The following is a 19,066-nucleotide window of genomic DNA, read 5'->3' as shown; positions in this document are numbered from 1 at the left end:
CACAGGCAAGTCATTTAACTGCTTTGGGCCTTAGATTCTTCATCTCTGAAATAGGGAGCAAAATACTGATTAAACCAGTGTTCTTATGAGGATTCAATGAGGTGAAATATGATGTATATGAAAGCCATTTGTAAACTGCAAAGGACTTTGTAGATAAAAGATGTTGGTTATTTATGATATCTTAAGAAAATTAGTTTCCAGGATCTTATTGCAGTAGTAATTTTTTTTATTACTTTTATATACCCCCAATATTTCAATTGATTAGCTTTGGTTTAGACCTTTGTTAAATGCCGAATTATAACAAATTATCTTTTATGTGTTCTGTGTATGCTCTTGAAAACATGCATGTAATGTGCTGATTACCATTCAGCAACTGGCTCTCTGGAGCAAAAAATGTCCCAATTTGTAGCATTTGCTGTTTTCCATGTTGTAGATACTCCTACCATAGCCAATTCCAAATCATCAGTATGCTGTCATTGAATGCAGAATTGGGAAAAGATATATATATGTCAGCTCTTGTGAGTTTGTTGGATCTGGCTGCAGCACACACTGAACTAAGACGTAGTCAGGTTTTGTTTGTTTGTTTGTTTGTTTTGAGACAGTCTTGCTCTGTCTCTTGTTTGTTTGTTTTGAGACAGAGTCTTGCTCTGTCACCCAGGCTGGAGTGCAGTGGCACGAACTCGGCTCACTGCAACCTCTGCCTCCTGGGTTCAAGTGATTCTCCTGCCTCAGCCTCCGTAGTGGCTGGGACTACAGGTGCGCGCCACCACGCCCAGCTAATTTTTGTATTTTTAGTAGAGACTGGGTTTCACCATGTTGGCCAGGATGGTCTTGGTCTCTTGACCTCATGATCCACCTGCCTCGGCCTCCCAAAGTGCTGGAATTACAGGCGTGAGCCACCGCGCCTGGCCATAGTCAGTTTTTAAATGTATAAGCATACAGAAGTCATTATTAATCAGGGATACTTTTGAACTATTTTAGATTTCAAAAACACTTAAGAATGTTTTTGTAACTCTCTGAAAGCCAGGAATCTAAAGTCAGACCTGGATTCTAATTCTGCCTCTGCACTTACTAGCTGTGTGACCTTAGGCAAATCAGAATATCTTTCTTGGGGGACAGGGGATGGAGTCTCACTCTGTTGCCCAGGCTGGAGTACAGTGGTGTGATCTTGGCTCACTGCAGCCTCCGCCTCCCTGGTTCAAGCGATTCTCCTGCCTCAGCCTCCCGAGTAGCTGGGACTACAGGTGCGCACCACCATGCCCAGCTAATTTTTGTATTTTTAGTAGAGATGGTGTTTCACCATGTTGTGCAGGCTGGTCTCTAACTCTTGACATTAGGTGATCCGCCCACCTCGGCCTCCCAGAGTGCTGGGATTATAGGTGTGAGCCACCCCACCAGCCCAGAATATCTTTAAGCTTCAATTCCTTCATCAGTAAAACAGGCACAATAATAGTATGTCCTTCTGATGGTAGATAATAAAGGTAAATGAAGTTAATTCCTTTCTGGTACTTGGTGTAGACCTCTGGTTAAAAAGGGAGGAAAAGGATTGCTTTATAAGGTCAGCAGCTATTGTTGTCAACCTTGCATGGTTCTAATAGCATGTCAAACTGAATTTTACACTTGATCTTAGCCAAAAGGACGAGAAACAATCAAACTGAATTTTATGTTAATTTATTTTATTTTTTTAGCTGACATGGGTTTTGCCAGATTATTCAATTCTCCTCTAAAGCCACTAGCAGATTTGGATCCAGTAGTTGTGACATTTTGGTATCGGGCTCCAGAACTTTTGCTTGGTGCAAGGCATTATACAAAGGCCATTGGTAAGTTGGTCTAAAATGATTTACTATCTTGTCATCTAACGATCATAAATATAAAATGGTATAATAATAAAGCTACTTGATAAAAACCATTTTATACATTTTTGTAAAAGTCCTATTGTCTTCTGTATTCCTAGATTTCTGGTAGATTTAGATTGTTAACTGTATAGGAGAATATGGTTATTTTAAAAGAAGAAAACATTTTCTTTCAGAGAATAGAGGTATCAGTATCTGATCCTGTTGAGTTGCTATGGAAACAATAACATGCACATTTTATTTTGTACTTAGTAGCTGTTGATCAGAAGAACTGGAGAGAAGTTGAGAATTGTTTTCTTCACAAAATGAAAAACAAAAACAGGAGTAGTGCAGTATTGGAAAGAACCCCTTCTATTTGGGGAAAAGTTAGTCACATTGTTTCCTAAGCAAGAAGCAATATAACTAATCTTTCTCTCTTGCCATTACAGTTATGAGAATGGCAGTTTCTCCATTAAGGTAGGAAATAGAGTCTGGGTAGATTAGCTGTGCTCAGCGTCTTGCCATCTCATCAAGTTAAAAAAACTGAGTAAGAAAATCTGTTATAAACACACTGTGTAAAATTTAAAGTCTGCCTCAGAACAGTGGCTTCAGAGATTTGCTACCTGGTGACTGCAGTATCCTCACACGGCCCAGCTGTGAATGGAGGGAGTCAGTAGGAGCTGGCCCTCCTCAAACCTAGAGATTTCTTTAAAGGAAGGAAAAGGAGAGAGTAGGGGAGAGTACATTGTAGCTGTTAGAAGGGATAGTTCTACAAGGTATCCAAATTTCCTAAGTATATTTCTTTAAATTTTCCTTTTATTGAATTTTCTGTTTACTGGCATTAGTCTCATATCAGTTTTGGCTACCTTTAGCTGCTTTTGTTGAATTCTATTTAATAAAGGCACTGCAAGTATAAAATTATTAAAAATAGACAAGCACAATCCTTTCTCTGCTAAACAAGCTTATGAAAAACCTGGTGATACCCAAAGAGCTACAAAGGAAACTCTCACACTTGGAAAGATTAGACTGATAATTAGCCTACTCATGGGTTAAAAAAGAACACAAAAATTAAAATATAGTAAGTCCTCATTCATCAAGACGTCTGATTTCTGCAAAACTCAGACACCAGAACACATTTAGATTTTGTCCAGAGACACAGACTCTAGCACAGTGCTGCAATATTGTAAATTATTGATAAATACTGCTGAATAGTTTTGTTAAATTAGTGAAAAAGCCTCTGAGTAAACTGGTATGTGTTTGACAGTAGAGAAATGTGAGAGTGACATAAAACCCTTACCTGTGCAGCTGGGCCTCTGGTAAGGCAGCAGATCAGAGGCTACCAAGGCCAGGCTGTCATCAGTGGACAGTGGCAGCCGTCTGCAAAAGGTGAGGGAAGAACTACAGACAGCAAGTGGAAGGGATGGAGTGGCCCTGTGATCCTGCCTGTGTACATTCCAACCAGTGACTTTTACTATGGAGCTGTATTTTTGAGACTTTTAGAATCATAAGTTTGTTTTTTCTGTCATTTAGGTCTCTCCTTACCCACTATTGAAAACAGTCATATCCCTTAGACAACCTCAGAAGGAACCAGAGGATAGGAAGAGACTGAAAGTAAGCCAGGGAAGGGAAGAGTGTTAGTTGAAAGTAAAAGGTGATGCCTTAGAACAGGTTAATGACAGATAACCCAGGACACGAGGAAGGGAGAAGAGGATGCAATCTCCATAGAAATCCATATACCTTAGACTTAATCCAAACACTAGGACAGTCTAGCTCTAGAAGGGAGATTTCCTTTAGGAAAAGACACATTCAGTCAAAACCTTCTGTTAAGCTAAATGACTTCCCACCAATGTCTGTCCCACTCTCAGAGAAGCTAACACAGCGGGTCCATGCCCTTAGGTAGGTGATTCTGTTGTGCGGGACCCATATACTTTGAGAGCCCACACTTTGAGAAGCACAATTTTATGAATATTTTCTGATTTATTTTTCTCTTGTTGAAATGAAAATAGATGCTTTTTTTTAAATAAATGAAATCGGATATGAGTTGAAAACCAATTATACTTCTTATTTCCTCAGGGTAAGGAAAAATGAAATTGAATTTTAACCAGCTTGCAACTCACTTGCTTGGTAAATGAAATTTACCGCTTAAAGATAAAAACATAATCACTAATTTCTAATTTTAGTCAATTCCCAATTATCCATTCTGGATAGAAGGTAGGAGAAAGTTAAGACAGAAAGAAAGAATAATCCCCAAATCAGTTATCTTAGGGCTTCAAATATGTTAATAGCAGATGTTTATAAGTACATACTTATTCACTTTTTCGTACTCTTCTCCATACATGGTCCATGTTAGAAATGAGTACTTAGGGCCGGGCAAGGTGCCTCATGTCTGTAATCCCAGCGCTTTGGGAGGCCAAGGCAGGTGGATCACTTGAGGTCCGGAGTTAAGACCAGCCTGGCCAACATGGTGAATCCCCGTCTCTACCAAAAATACAAAAATTAGCCAGGCATGGTGGTGTGTGCCTATAATCCCAGCTATTCTGGAGGCTGAGGTGAGAGAACCCCTTGAACCCGGGAGGCATTTGATATCAGTGGAGGTTTGTGGAGTGACAGTTGGGGAGGGGAGTGGCAGTGATGGTGACAAGCAGTGTTGGGGCAGGTGTGTTTATGGGTGTGTCAGGAGAACAAATCATTGATAGAGGAAAGAAACCTGAGAAGTAGCTACAGATGGTGCAGGAGCCAGATGGCCTTTTGAAATTATAGGCTAATATGAGGCAGAAAACCTTTGAATGTACTGCCACCTGCTATCTGAGGTTTCTTATGTTAGCAGTTCACTGGGAACTCAAGACCCTGGCTCTTGTCCTTTGAATGGAGGACAAACCAGGAATTGGCATGACCAGGCACATGCAGTAGTAGTCCTGGTATACTGCATAGTAGAGGTGGTAATGAGGAAGAGAGATGGGACCATCAGAGGCAGCCATATCGGGGGAAGAGTGACAACCAGTATGACATGGGAGACAGAAAAGAATTCAGAAATGGATGCTGAGCAGTATTATTACTCTACTCTGTAGTGATGGATGTTCATGATGATGATGACCTTGCTGCATCATTAAGGAGGATTACATTTTTTATAGCCTTTTATGGTGGCAGGCAATGGTGTAATTAAAAAATGGTCGTCAAAGGAATATGTTTCCATTATCCAGAAGGCTAAATTATGTGGAAGGAAACTGTACCTGAATGTGGTCAAATAAGTAAGGCATTACTGTATGGATTTTTCCATTTGACAATTTGTTTTAGGAGAGAGCATTCTGATGCGTCTTCTAGCTAATGGATATACAGTAGTCCCCACTTATCTGCTGGGAATATGTCCCAAGACCCCCCCAGGGGATGCCTGAAATTGCAGATAGCACCGAACCCTGTATATACTATGTTTTTTTGATCTAATAACCCAGACGACCACTAAGTGACTAACCAGTGGGTAGTGAGTATACAGTGTGGATGAACAGAGGGATGATTCACATCCCAGGAAGATGGAGAGCGTAGCATGAGATTTCATCACACTGCTCAGAATGGTACACAATTTAAAACTTATAAATTGTTTATTCTGGAATTTTCCATTTAATATTTTCGAACTGCAGTGGTTGACTGCAGGTAACTGAAACTGGAGGGCAAAAACTTAGATGAGGAAGGAATAGTGTAATTAACCTTTTTCCTTGTTTAGCTTATTGCAGAATGTGATTCACATATTTAATAGGCTACTAAACACAGTACTTTTTTATGCTATACCATAGTTTTTTGTTTGTTTTTTCCAAGATGGTGTTTCACTCTGTCGCCCAAGCTGGAGTACGGTGGCATGATCTTGGCTCACTGCAACCTCTGTCCCCTGGGTTCAAGAGATTCTTCTGCATCTGCCTCCTCAGTAGCTGGGACTACAGGCGTGTGCCACCACACCCGGCTAATTTTTTGTATTTTTAATAGAGACAGGGTTTCACCATGTTGGTCAGGATGGTCTCGAACTCCTGACCTCAAGTGATCCGCCCACCTCAGCCTCCCAAAGTACTTGGAATACAGGCATGAACCACTGCACCCAGCCTCCCCAATTCTTTTATATGGTCTATACTGTCTGTCTAGACTCAAAACTTATAAATTCTACTCTATCATTATACATTGGATGGCTTTAAAAGAATTACGTCACCATGTCTGATGATGATATTGTTTCAGTATATCAGATCTGTGTATTACGCCTGGTATTAGATTATCAATTGAGTACTTTAATGATTAAATTATTAACAGTGGTTAGACATGGTAAGACCTTGTCTCTACAAAACAATTTTTTAAAAAATTAGCCAGGTACAAGTAGCACACACCCATAGTCTGAACTACTCTGGAGGCTGAGGCAGGAGGATTCCTTGAGCCCAGGAGGTCAAGGCTTCAGGGAGCCATGGTTACACCACTGTACTCCAGCCTGGGTGACAGAGACCCTAAAAACAACAACAAAAAAAGTGGTTAGAAAGACCTTTGCCTAAATCTAAAGAATTTGTTGCTTGCTAAATTGACTGTCCCCATTTATTGTCATCAGAAAATTTACAAGTAAATGTTTTTTATTACTTGGCTTTCAATTTGTTACATGATGATATAGCTATTTCATGTCATGTATATATATATACACATACACACACATATATATACATACCTATATATACACACATACCCACACATATGTCAAAATACAAAGTACAATAATGTTCTCTTAATGTACTTATTGTACTTTGTATATTGATTTACTGAAAAGTATTTTTATAAGTAGGCTGGGATTATATCTAGGAATTATAACCAAGGAAATATATACAAAAACTTATGTTTCTTCCTTCCCAGATATATGGGCAATAGGTTGTATATTTGCTGAATTGTTGACTTCGGAACCTATTTTTCACTGTCGTCAGGAAGATATAAAAACAAGCAATCCCTTTCATCATGATCAACTGGATCGGATATTTAGTGTCATGGGGTTTCCTGCAGGTAATTTATTTTCCTTTTTAAAGTCATATTTTGAGTCATATTTCAAAATCATTTCTTCTCAAAAGCATATTTTAATGTATATTTATAAACTAACATAATTAGGAGATTTTAAATTAACACATTATTTTCTATAACAATATTTAATTTTTTTGTAAGATAAAGACTGGGAAGATATTAGAAAGATGCCAGAATATCCCACACTTCAAAAAGACTTTAGAAGAACAACGTAAGTAATTCCACACAGTCTTAGTCTTTTTGTGCTGCTATAAAAAAATACCTTAGACTGGGTAATTTATAAACAACAGGAATTTGTTTTCTCCCAGTCCTTGAGGCTGGAAAGTCCAAGGTCAAGGCACTGGCATGTTTGTAATCCCATGAAGGTTGCTTTCTGCTTCCAGGGTGACACCTTGTTGCTGTGTCCTCACATAGGTAGAAGGGCAAAAAGGGGCAGATGCTGTGTGATGCCTCTTTTACTCTTTTACAAGGCATTAATCCCACTCCTCAAAGCAAAGCCCTCAATTCTGGAAGGCCTTATCTTCTAATACTGTTGCATTGAGAATTAAGTTTCAACATGAATTTTGGAGGGGACATAAACATTCAAACCATAGTGTACATTAATTATAGGTAGTAATTTCAATGAGAATAGTTAAATTAATCTTTTTAAAAAACAGATGTAGATTGTTATTTAAACTAGAAACTGAGATTTTAGCATATTAATTATGCCTGTGATTTAAAGAAGATTTTCCAGATACTGTTAACATATATAGTTCAGGTTTAGGCTGCAGTATTAAAAACTTTTAAGAATTTAAGGGTCAATAGGTAGTTTATATCTGCTATGTTTTAGCATGAATAAAGTTCTCAGTTCTAGGCCACAGTTGTGGTTTTATCTTTATCTGAGTAATGACTGGTGACTGACATGCTGGACTAGGAAACCTGGAAGGCTGGCAGAAGGAAGAACACGTGGCCTGGAATATGAGTAAAACAAACTGATGAAGGCATTTACTTTGAGCAGAAATGAGATTAAGGGTGATGGCATGTGAGGTGTTTGTTATAAATATGCACACTTACCGAAAATTGTGGAAGAGCTTCTCTATGGGCAACTTACCAGGAAAATTTCAGGACAGGATGGCTTATAGGAACAAAATCAGACATCATAAAGAGAAATAGAGAATGGCATTGATCATTTCTAACCCCTTTTTCTCACAGTCCTTGGTGGGGTCCTTTGCCTGTATCCATCTCTTAAGGACAGTGCTGGTATCAAGGTTCTATCCTGGGCTCTTTTCTCACTCTAGGTATTTTCCCATTCAGACTCTATGATTTTGATGGCCACAATTTACCATCAATTATGTGGATAACTCCCAATATGTATCTTACTCAGTTCACTTTTCCAAGTTTCAAAATCATTTATCTAATTGCCTTATGGAATCCCAACCTGAATGTTCTATAAATTCTTCAAACATTCAAAACCAAACTAGTTATTTTCATTTAACATTTTATTGTACCCTTGTTCGCAAGGGTACAATAAAATGGACATTCTGGCCAGGCACAGTGGCTCACTCACGCCTGTAATCCTCACACTTTGGGAGGCTGAGGTGGGAAGATCTCTTGAGCCCAGGAGTTTGAGACTAGCCTGGGCAACATAGTTAGACCCTATCTCTATTTTTATTAAAAAAAAAAATTATTACGCATATGCTACTGGTGAGGATGAGTACTTCTCAAACTTCAGTGTACCTACAAATCACCTGGAGACCTTGTTAAAAATGTAGATTCTGAGTCAGAATCAGGGGTGAGAACTGAGAACCTTCATTTCTAATGCAGGCTCTCAGGTGATGCTCAGGTTGCTGGTAAAAGCTACATTTGTGTAGCGAGATTCTAGAGCACCTAAAAAAGGCTTTAAAATATGTATGCCCTTTGACCTGATAATTCCTGGAATTTATCCTGTGGAAGTAATCAGAGCTGCCACAAATAGATGAGTACTTCTTATATACCAGGGTGGTGCTAAACCCTTTACCTACATTTTTTCATATGATCTTCCTAGCAAATCTATAGGATAGGCATAATTATAATTTCCACTTTTCAGATTCAGAACCTAAGGCTTTCTTAGAGGTTAACTAACTTGCCCAAGATCACACAATTGGTGAATGACAATCAGGGTCTAGTAGGGGTCTCTGAGTCTCACCTGCTAGGCAGTATTGGCTCCCTGCCATGCACATCAGATTTAGCTACAAGGACTTGTATGCCACAGCTATTATGAAACAAGTAATACCCGTACCAGTAGGAGATAGGCAGCCACTCAAAATAATAAGTTTGAAGATTATTTGACAAAAGAAAATGTTTATGGAACAATATTAAATAAAAAGCTAAGACAATTTTTTAGTAGGATTCCAATTTTATAAAAACAAAGCAAAAATTCCTGTGTTTATACCATATATGTATATGCCACACACACGCAAAACACCAAAGGGACATTATAAAAATTTTGTCAGTGGTTTTTTTGTCACTGAGTGGCTTGATTGTGAGTGATTTTAATTTTCTTCTATACTTTCTATATTCTGTAATTCTTTTTATCATGAACATACATTACCTATTTTTAGACCTTTTAATTTGAAATATTTCATATGTAGGAAAGAATATATAATGAAAAAATATCTAGTATATTTAGAATAATAAAATGAATACCCCTTTGCTCACCTCTGAACCTAGGAATTAGAACATCACTAAGATTACTAAAGTACCCTGTGTGCCCCACCTCCCTATCCACATCCCTCCCAGAGGGTAGACTCTGAGTGTTCTGCATTTGGGTTTATCATCCCCACAGTTTTTATTATAGTTCTAGTCCACATGTTTATGTACCTCTAAAAGTTATTGTTCAGTTTATTGTCTTTCAACTTTTTATAAATGGTAACATATTATGTATTTTCTTCTGCAACTTGCTTTTTCTCCTCACTGAACCTTGCATATTCATTTTTACTGTTGTATAACATTCCATTCTGTGAATGTATAAAAATGTACCCATTTTTCAGTTGATGGACATTTGGATTGTCTATATATATATACACACATATATATATATACACGTATATATATATACGTATATATATATACACACACATATATATATACGTATATATACTATATATGTATATATATGTATATATGTGTATATATATGTGTATATGTATGTGTATATATGTGTATATGTGTGTGTATATATGTGTATATATGTATATATATGTGTATATATATATGTATATATATATATATTGGCCATTACTAAAAGGCTGCTAAGAACATTTTTATCCCTGTATCCTGATATACATGTACAAAATCATCTCTTTGACTCAGGTATGTGCCTAGAAATGGAGTTGCTAGGTCATAAGCTATACACATTTTCAACACTAATGGTTAATGCATAACTGTTTTCCAAAGGGATTGTAACAGTATAAACTCTCATGTTGTGTGTGACAGTTCCTATTTCTTCACACATTTGCTAATATTTGGTAATGTGTTTCTTCTTATTCAGAAAAAACAATGACTTAAACACATACCTTATAGGAAAGCCAATCCTGGAGCTTATCATTAAGAAATATCAATTGGATGAGTGTTCCCAGTGATGTGTGACTGTGCGTGTCCTTGCAGGTATGCCAACAGTAGCCTCATAAAGTACATGGAGAAACACAAGGTCAAGCCTGACAGCAAAGTGTTCCTCTTGGTAGGTGCTTCTCTCCCAGACTAAAATCTGATTCTCAGCACAAATCTCGCCTTCTATTTACTCAGCTATTCCTCCTCTTTAGAAACAAAAGAAATTAGTGGATGCTGGGGTAAAATTAAATATTTTTTTTGTTGAGATGTCACCCTGTCTTTCAGCCTTCACTTTAAATGATTTATCAGCAGAAAATGAACTTTATAAGGGCTTTAATGCTGATGATTTCTGCCAATTTCACATAAAAGTATGTAGTATGCATAATCTGCAGTGAGCTACACCAAATGTATTTTATATTAATCCTGTTACACAGTAATACAAAAGACAAGGTGTTGACTTGTAAATAACCTTTTCATGTGCTGTACATTTCCTGTGTGTCACTCTAGCTTCAGAAACTCCTGACCATGGATCCAACCAAGAGAATTACCTCGGAGCAAGCTCTGCAGGATCCCTATTTTCAGGAGGACCCTTTGCCAACATTAGAGTATGTATCCTGTCTTTTCTGTGTCCTTTGCTCCAGGCTGAGGAGGCTGCATGGTGGTTGAAAGCAAGGGAAGCACTTGCTACTGAAGTATTTAACTTTTTCAATGATACCACCTAAAGACTGCTCAAGAGCAAGCTTCCACATTTTGAAACAGGCAAAGCTGCAGAGAGGGATGAATGAAAACAAGTATTTTAGGAACGACCATTTGTCAGTTTTACAGATGAAAACTAAAGCTGATAACAGATAAGACCTTTACAGACCAATTGGCCAGATCAGAAATTCAGCCAAACCAGTAGGCAACAGAAGTTAATCTGTCTTTCAGAGCATGTCCACTGCACTACAAAACCTCTCTACTCCTTCATCCTTCTTAACCCCAAGTATAGACTTTGTGTTTTCATCTATAAGAGGTGTAGTTTTTCTTGTTAAGGCAAATACAAATTAAGTTATTTTTGGCGCTAATGAAGTTAGTATAGAGAAACTTCTGTGTCCTATATGTCAACTAGCTAGCAGCAGTCAAGATTTGAACACTAGCCACAGATGAAGAGTAGGAAATAAGTGAAGAAAAACAAATTGGAATTTTAAATTAACAAGGTAATGATATTACAGATTTTAGATCATGATATGTTTTTTCTTTTTAATGATTTTTAGTGTATTTGCCGGCTGCCAGATTCCATACCCCAAACGAGAATTCCTTAATGAAGATGATCCTGAAGAAAAAGGTGACAAGGTATAAACTGCACGGTATACTTTCACTTCCAAAGAGCAAGGGAGGCAAAAAGATAGTTTAGGTATCGTTCCATAATTCCTATACATTTAACCACCTTTTCTAATATTTAATTAAATTTGAATGTATCTTATTTTCTGTGGAAGTTTGGGGATTGTAAAGGTACCTTGAAGTTTGAAGTATGACCAGCTCACAGATACCTGAGCTTCCGGTGTGTGTTACAGCCAGTTCTACTCCCGGATTCCCACTTCTTGCTCTTTCTGTTTGTTTGGTGTCACTACCACCCCTTTATGCAGGCTGGCTTTTGCTAGCATCACTCTGTTCTTTCGTCTTAACTGGATATATTGGCTCACTCTCCAGACCGCTCTGCCTTTCCAGAATCACGATTGAAAAGATTTCTTCTAGCTGTTTTAATGAGCTATAAGAAATGTATTTCTAATGTGCCTGTGGCCTTCAGTGAGATGTCTGTGACTGATTTGGAGGATCACTGTGCAGTCTAAATGAACTTCAGGGAAAGAGTCCTGTTTGGGGCTCAGCGCCTTGCCCTTTGGGAACACTGTGTTCCCTGGCTGCTCCATTCTCCAGTCCTCCCCATCACTCTAGTGTCCCACATAGATTGCTCCCCCAGGTTGGTCAGCAGCCACATGTGCATATCAAATAATTAAAGAAAGCTCCTGTTAATTTGGTTTCATACCAAGCTTGCTTTTTTCCCCTTAAAAGAATCAGCAACAGCAGCAGAACCAGCATCAGCAGCCCACAGCCCCTCCACAGCAGGCAGCAGCCCCTCCACAGGCGCCCCCACCACAGCAGAACAGCACCCAGACCAACGGGACCGCAGGTGGGGCTGGGGCCGGGGTCGGGGGCACCGGAGCAGGGTTGCAGCACAGCCAGGACTCCAGCCTGAACCAGGTGCCTCCAAACAAGAAGCCACGGCTAGGGCCTTCAGGCGCAAACTCAGGTGGACCTGTGATGCCCTCGGATTATCAGGTACTCCCTGAATGTCTAATGTTCATATGCTTTATGAAGTGGGGAAAAGATTTATCCTAGATCCTTTTAGAGTTAAGTAACACTTAACTCTTACATTTGACTGTGCAATCCTGTTTCTAGGGCATTCTATGAAGAGGAAGATTTTCATCATATTTCATGTAATTGTAAGATATCTCGTATTCTGACTTGTTTATCCTGACACCCGAGGAGAGGAAGGTAGGGAGGCCAGTGCCCCCATCCTTAAAGAAAATTTCATCATTTTACCCTTATAGCTGCCTTAGCAGTTCTGGTGTATCAGAAAAAGATACGTAGATACGCAGTTGAAAAGGGAAGGGGAGTGGTGTCTTACTTTGGACAAAATTAATTGCATTCTTTAGAAAGATATGCTCTTTCTGGGAGGAAGTAGCTACATAGATAAAGAAGAGAAGGGGGCTAAGACTGAGGCTTTTCTGAAATAACTGTTAAGTCTCATTAGAAATAATTTTGAGACTAGAAAATACTTTTTGTTATTCAGATAAAAAGAGAACACCAATTGCAGTGCTAATTCAGGAAATTAAAGGAGCTAAGTCTAAGGATTGGTATTTGGAGAGAGGTAAAAATACCCATTGTGATAACCATAGGAAATTTTGAAAAAAAAATTTTTTTTCAAGGTAGTAACAAGTTAAGAAACCATCTAGGAAGAAGGGAAAACTTAAGTTTTTTGTTTGTTTGTTTTTTTGTTTGTTTTAAGTTTAGAACCACAGTCCCTCCGGGAACTCTTGCAGATGAGTGCATAGGATAGAGATAATAGAAAACAAAACCTCTGGCAAGGGAACCATAAACTCACTGATAAGGAACTGCAATAAAGAGAAACTTTAACAAGAAAGACATAACAAATAGCTGCATAAACTGCCTTCACATTTTGAATAGCTCAACAAACTAATGTGTTTCCACACAACTACTCTGAAAAACTTCTCTTCAGAATATCCCTGCAAGCAGAAGAGTACATAATACTTCCACTTGGTTCCAATTAAACAAATTTAGGCTTCAGTTTGATCTACTAAAAACAGCTTGCTAGCTGGGTAGTAGCATGAGCATATTTGAATTTTGTTATAAAATCTGTTTCCCCTCCATTATATGAGCAACAAATGCTTACTATATACTGGTTCATCTTTGTGTGTCTGATTGAATTATATTAACCTGTGTTAAAAAATAATAATAATTTGCCTAAACACTTGTTAAAGTTGGTAAGGCAGACTTTATTCAAGGCGGGGCCATGTTAGTGCATAAAGGGACCACTGCAACAGGGGCTGGCAGTTGGGGAGGAAGACTGGACTCAATTCAGACTCCTACATGACAAGTGGAGAGGTATAGCCAAAGAGCAGGGTGGGGATCAGTGGATGGAAAGTTACCAAGAGGAAACATCCAGGATAAAAGGTCTCTGGCTAAACTGACTGCATAGTATTAGGCTGAAGGGAGGCCTGGGTAATAAGCTTTTAAAGGTGGGGGATTTTTGCCAAGCCAACTTAGCAAGATTCTTGCTCTAACAGGATTCTCCAAGGACAGAGGAAAGCCCAAGGTCAGGCCTAGTCAAGCAGAAGACTCACAGAGCTCCCTCCAACACGACCCTGTAAAACTTCCCTCCAGCCTCTTTGCAGACAACACCTCCTCTACTGTGCTGCCCCAGGCAACAACATGTTTTCATACCTTCTGTAATAAACCTGCCTTTCTTTACCCAAAACCATCTTGGTTAAAACCTTGACTGCCTGAGAGCAGCCTGACTGCAGTTTTTGTCAAAGGAAAGAGTCTTTGTCACCCAATTGTAGTCAATTATAGACAGATTACTGTATTTCTTTTTTTCCCCAAATTCAAACATTCTTTGAAATGCTTTTCTATGTCCATATTGTTCTGTTGACTTAAAAATAAACCTTTCATAGCTGAGTCCTGATGTCTGTGGAAAAAAATAATAAACCTTCCAACATATCTATTAAATGAATAGATACAGCTATTTAGTTGGAGAGACTGGCATGAGGGGCAGTCAGGTGTCCCATTACACCGAACTTGCAACTCATACACCATCTAGGGGCCAAGGGAAAAACTTTCCTTTCACTCTCTGAAAGTTCGCTGAAAAATCAACTCACAAAAGGCAGGTTAATTGGAGAAAATGTCATGGGTGTGACTAGCTAGGGCCAGTGTCTCAGGCAGTCAAGGTTTTTACTAAGAGTTCTGGGTAAAGAAAGGCAGATTTATTACAGAATGTATGAAAACATGTTGTTGCAACAGACAGCATAGCAGAGGGAGGGGCTGTCTGCAAAGAGCAGGGGCTGGAAGGAAGTTTTACAGGGTCTTGCGGGAGGGAGCTATGTGCCAAATGAGGTCATTGTGCCCACCAGTTGTTTGTGACTAGCAGTGTCTCAGAACAATTGTTCATTGTTTTTCCCCACCTGGAGCCCCTTCCTCCTTGTTGCTTACTTATCAGGACAGAAAGGCATACAACTTTGATACCAGTGGGCTGAGGGAGGTCCCCAGATGCTGGTGGGACCTCAACCCCACCCTGTGTCCAGGCTCCTAACACCATCGGGAGAAGGAATTAAAGGATGAGTCAAAAATAGCAAAAGTATGGAGATTTATTGCAGAGGGAAAAGTACACAACTCAAGAAAGGGGAGTGTGGGTATACGCAAGAGAGAATCTGGCTGGGGACAGTGGCTCATGCCTGTAATCCCAACACTTTGGGAGGCTGAGGCGGGTGGATCACCTGAGGTCAGGAGTTCAAGACCATCCTGGCCAACATGGCAAAACCTCGTCTCTACTAAAAATATAAAAATTAGCTGGTTGTGGTGGTGCAAGCCTGTAATCCCAACTACTTGGGAGGCTGAGGCAGGATAATTGCTTGAACCTGGGAGGCAGAGGTGCAGTGAGCCGAGATCGCGCCACTGCACTCCAGCCTGGGTGACAGAGTGAGACTCCATCTGAAAAAAAATAAATGAATAGAGAGTCATGCAGTCTGGTTTGGGTTTCTATCTTTATGGGTTTCTTTAACCAAAGGGTGGAATATTCATGAAAATTCCTGGAAAAAGGGGGAGATTTCTTGGAACTGTGGTGCCACCCATTTTTATGCCAAATATGGATGTTCTTGGAACTGTCATGGTGCTGGTGAGTGTGTGATTTAGAATGTTAATGAGCATATAATGATGTCCTAGGTTTTTAAGCAGAAATTCAAAGTGTGTTTCATGTAGTCTTTTTTTTTTTTTTTTTTTTTTTTTTTTTGAGACAGAGTCTCACTGTGTCACCCAGGCTGGAGTGCGGTGACGTGATCTTGGCTCACTACAACCTCCACCTCCTGGGTTCAAGTGATTCTCATGCCTCAGCCTCCCAAGTAGCTGAGACTACAGGCATGTATCACCACTCCCGGCTAATTTGTGTGTGTGTGTGTGTGTGTGTGTGTGTGTGTGTGTGTGTGTATATATATATAAATAATTTTATTATTATTATTATTTTTTTAAGTAAAGACAGGGTTTCGCCATGTTGGTCAGGCTGGTCTCAAACTCCTGACCTCAAGTCATCCACCTTCCTTGGCCTCCTAAAGTGTTGGGACTACAGGCGTGAGCCACTGTGCCCGGCCAGAAATTGTCCATTTTTATGGTTTAGGGTCAACAAAGTGTAGACAGCCATGTAGAAACATGATTGGACAGAAGGGGTATGATCTGATGCTAATAGACTGAGGGGGAAACCCAACATGGCCTGTCTAGGTTCCTGTTGGTCTCTCTAAGCGTGCATTCCTGCCTCTGGGTGTGGGGCAGGACCCCCTCTGGGACAGGAGTCTCATGACCTACAGTCAGACAGGATATGCCAGATCATTTCTTTATGTCCAGTTTTTACACAGAAAGGTAGGGGGAAGTTAGAGTAATATTTTTAGGTTTCACAGCTGGTGTTGGGGAAGTGGGGTTCTGGTTTCTATGGCTTGCCTTAGGGAAGGGGAATTCTAGTTTCTATGGCTGGCTCTGAGGAGAATGGGACTGTGAGACAAGAGGGCACAAAAAGGTCAGAGAAAAACTTTTGCTCCTGAGGCCTTCATTTTGGGGTATTGTTTTCTGTGCCCCAACAGTTCCATTAGTAGAGTTTCAAGGCTTTTGAGCTGCTTCATCAATGTATTGTAAGCAAGTACAATTAGCGCTTTGAAAAGCGGGACATTGGCTTATTTTCTGTCTAAAAAACCCTTTGTCATTAAAAAAGCTATGTTACAGCACATTAGATTCTTACATGTTTACATTATACTTTATGGCAAAATTGCCCCAAATAACGTATGAGTTGAAAGAACATTTTTCATAATAAACTTCAAAATAAAACACGTAATTAAAATTTGGAATTTTTAAAGACTTCTGTAACCAATGTGACTATTCAGTTGTGCAACTTAGGAAGGGGCAAAACTAAGTTTTGTTTTGTTTTTTTTTTTTTGAGATGGAGTCTCCCTCTGTCGCCCAGGCTAGAGTGCAGTGGCGCCAATCTTGACTCACTACAACTTCTGACTCCTGGGTTCAAGCGATTCTCCTGCCTCAGCCTCCCGAGTAGCTGGAACTACAGGGACCCACCACCATGCCTGGCTAATTTTTGTATTTTTAGTAGAGATGGGGTTTCACCATGTTGGCCAGACTGGTCTTGAACTCCTGACCTCAGGTGATCTGCCCAGCTCAGCCTCCCAAAGTGCTGGGATTACAGGTGTGAGCCACTGTGCCTAGCCACAACTGAGTTGTTTTTAACCAAAACTACCTTAGTGCCCTGTTATCTTGGACCAGATATTCCAAGTCGTTTGGCAGCCTTTGAGCACTGAGCAGGAGGACCTTGCTGATCTGTTCTTTCCTAAACCCCCAGTGCCACCTCAAGATAATTTACATGTTTAACTCAAAGTGTAACCGCCCGACAGGTTCTTCTTGCTCGCTGCCCAGATAGAGCCAATTTATCAAGACAGGAATTTCAATAGAGAAAGTTTAATACACATAGGGCCAGCTAAATGGGACATCAGAGTTTTATTATCAGCCTCCTCAAAATTTGGAGGCTAGGATTTTTCAAAGATACTTTGGTGGGCAGGGGTCTAGGGAATGACTACTGCTGCTTGGTTGGGGATGCAATCAAAGGGGTGTGAAAAATGGTCTTCCTGTGCTGAGTCCACTTCTGGGTGGGGGCCACAGGACTGGTTGAGTCATGAGTCTCAGTCTGGGTGGAGTCATCCGAAATGCAAAAGTCTGAAAAGCCTTCTGAAAAGGTTGACAATAGTGATGTTATTTACAGGAGTAATTGGGGAGTAGCCAATTGACCTCCAGAACAATGACTGGTAATTGTTTAACTGCACCTACATCTTAGCAGAATTCAGGCCTCTCTCATAATCCTAAACTTGTGGCCTTTTAGTAGTTTTATAAAGGCAGTTTAGTTTTGGGATGGACTATTGTCGTTTAAACTATAAACTAAATTTCTCCCAAAGTTAGCTTGGCCCATGCCCAGCAATGACCAAGAACAGTTTGGAGGTTAAAGGCAAGATGGAGTGGGTTAAATCAGATCTCTTTCACTGTCATAATTTTCTTGCTGTTTAATTTTTGCTAAGGAAGTTTCAAAAGTAATAGCTTTATTACATATATTCTTTCCCACTTTGCTTACAAGAAAAACCAGCCTTCTGAATATAGCCAAAGATACTACTTCCAGCTATGCTTGTCTCTTACATACTGTTCTTATTCTATAGATGATTTTTCCTTTTACACATTTTTTTTGTATTTGCGTTAGGTACTATGAAGATGAAGGTTTCATTTAATGTAATAAAAATACATTGAATTGAAATGCATTTTTCTGTCTTCTCTTGAAGACAATCATATGTGAAAATTGCTTTATTCTAAATGTTACCTGAAGTTTATAAAACCCACATGTTGCTGCCGCACCCCACCTAATCTTGCCTTACTTTGTCTCGTAGGTAGAACTCCTGATACCCCTAGCTTCTACCTCTGAAAACCCTTTGCTCTAAAATAATGATTTCTTAATCACAGCTTTGTTATTTATAATGGGAAAAATAATAGCATGTCAGTATACATTATGAATACTATTGATTTCAGTATGCCAAATTGATTATTCTTGTTTGCACGTCTCAGTTATGCAAAGGATTGTTACACCCCAGAATTGGAATAAAGAGAAATGGGTCCGCTGAAATTTCCCCTTTTCCTTTCTTTCCAGTGTAGCTTATCTCCCACAAAAATCTAGCCAAATTTCATGCCTGCCAGAATGTGTGGTTACAGTGGTGGCAGGCTGTGATTTCAAATAAGCAAAATGTGTTAACAACTTAAGTTAGCTGTCAGCTATG

At 39.4% G+C, this 19,066-nt stretch overlaps 1 protein-coding gene across 18 annotated transcripts in view; it reads left to right on the top strand.

Moving 5' to 3' along the window:
• The window catches only part of CDK19 (cyclin dependent kinase 19), a 205,878-nt gene that overhangs the window by 182,006 nt on the left and 4,806 nt on the right, over window positions 1-19,066 (top strand). For 15 of the 18 annotated variants that reach the window (XM_047418470.1, NM_001300964.2, XM_024446376.2 and 12 more), the window contains 7 exons: window positions 1,689-1,820; window positions 6,705-6,848; window positions 7,005-7,074; window positions 10,488-10,560; window positions 10,938-11,035; window positions 11,684-11,762; window positions 12,480-12,746. In XM_047418470.1, the coding sequence (XP_047274426.1) occupies window positions 1,689-1,820; window positions 6,705-6,848; window positions 7,005-7,074; window positions 10,488-10,560; window positions 10,938-11,035; window positions 11,684-11,762; window positions 12,480-12,746 (863 nt within the window). The other 3 variants (XM_011535630.3, NM_001300960.2, XM_047418473.1) reach the window with 2 other exon arrangements.

The sequence above is a fragment of the Homo sapiens genome, chromosome 6 (assembly GCF_000001405.40).
Source record: "Homo sapiens chromosome 6, GRCh38.p14 Primary Assembly".
Lineage (NCBI taxonomy): Eukaryota > Metazoa > Chordata > Mammalia > Primates > Hominidae > Homo > Homo sapiens.
Note: the sequence above shows the minus strand (reverse complement) of the source record. Positions and strands in the feature narration are given on the sequence as shown.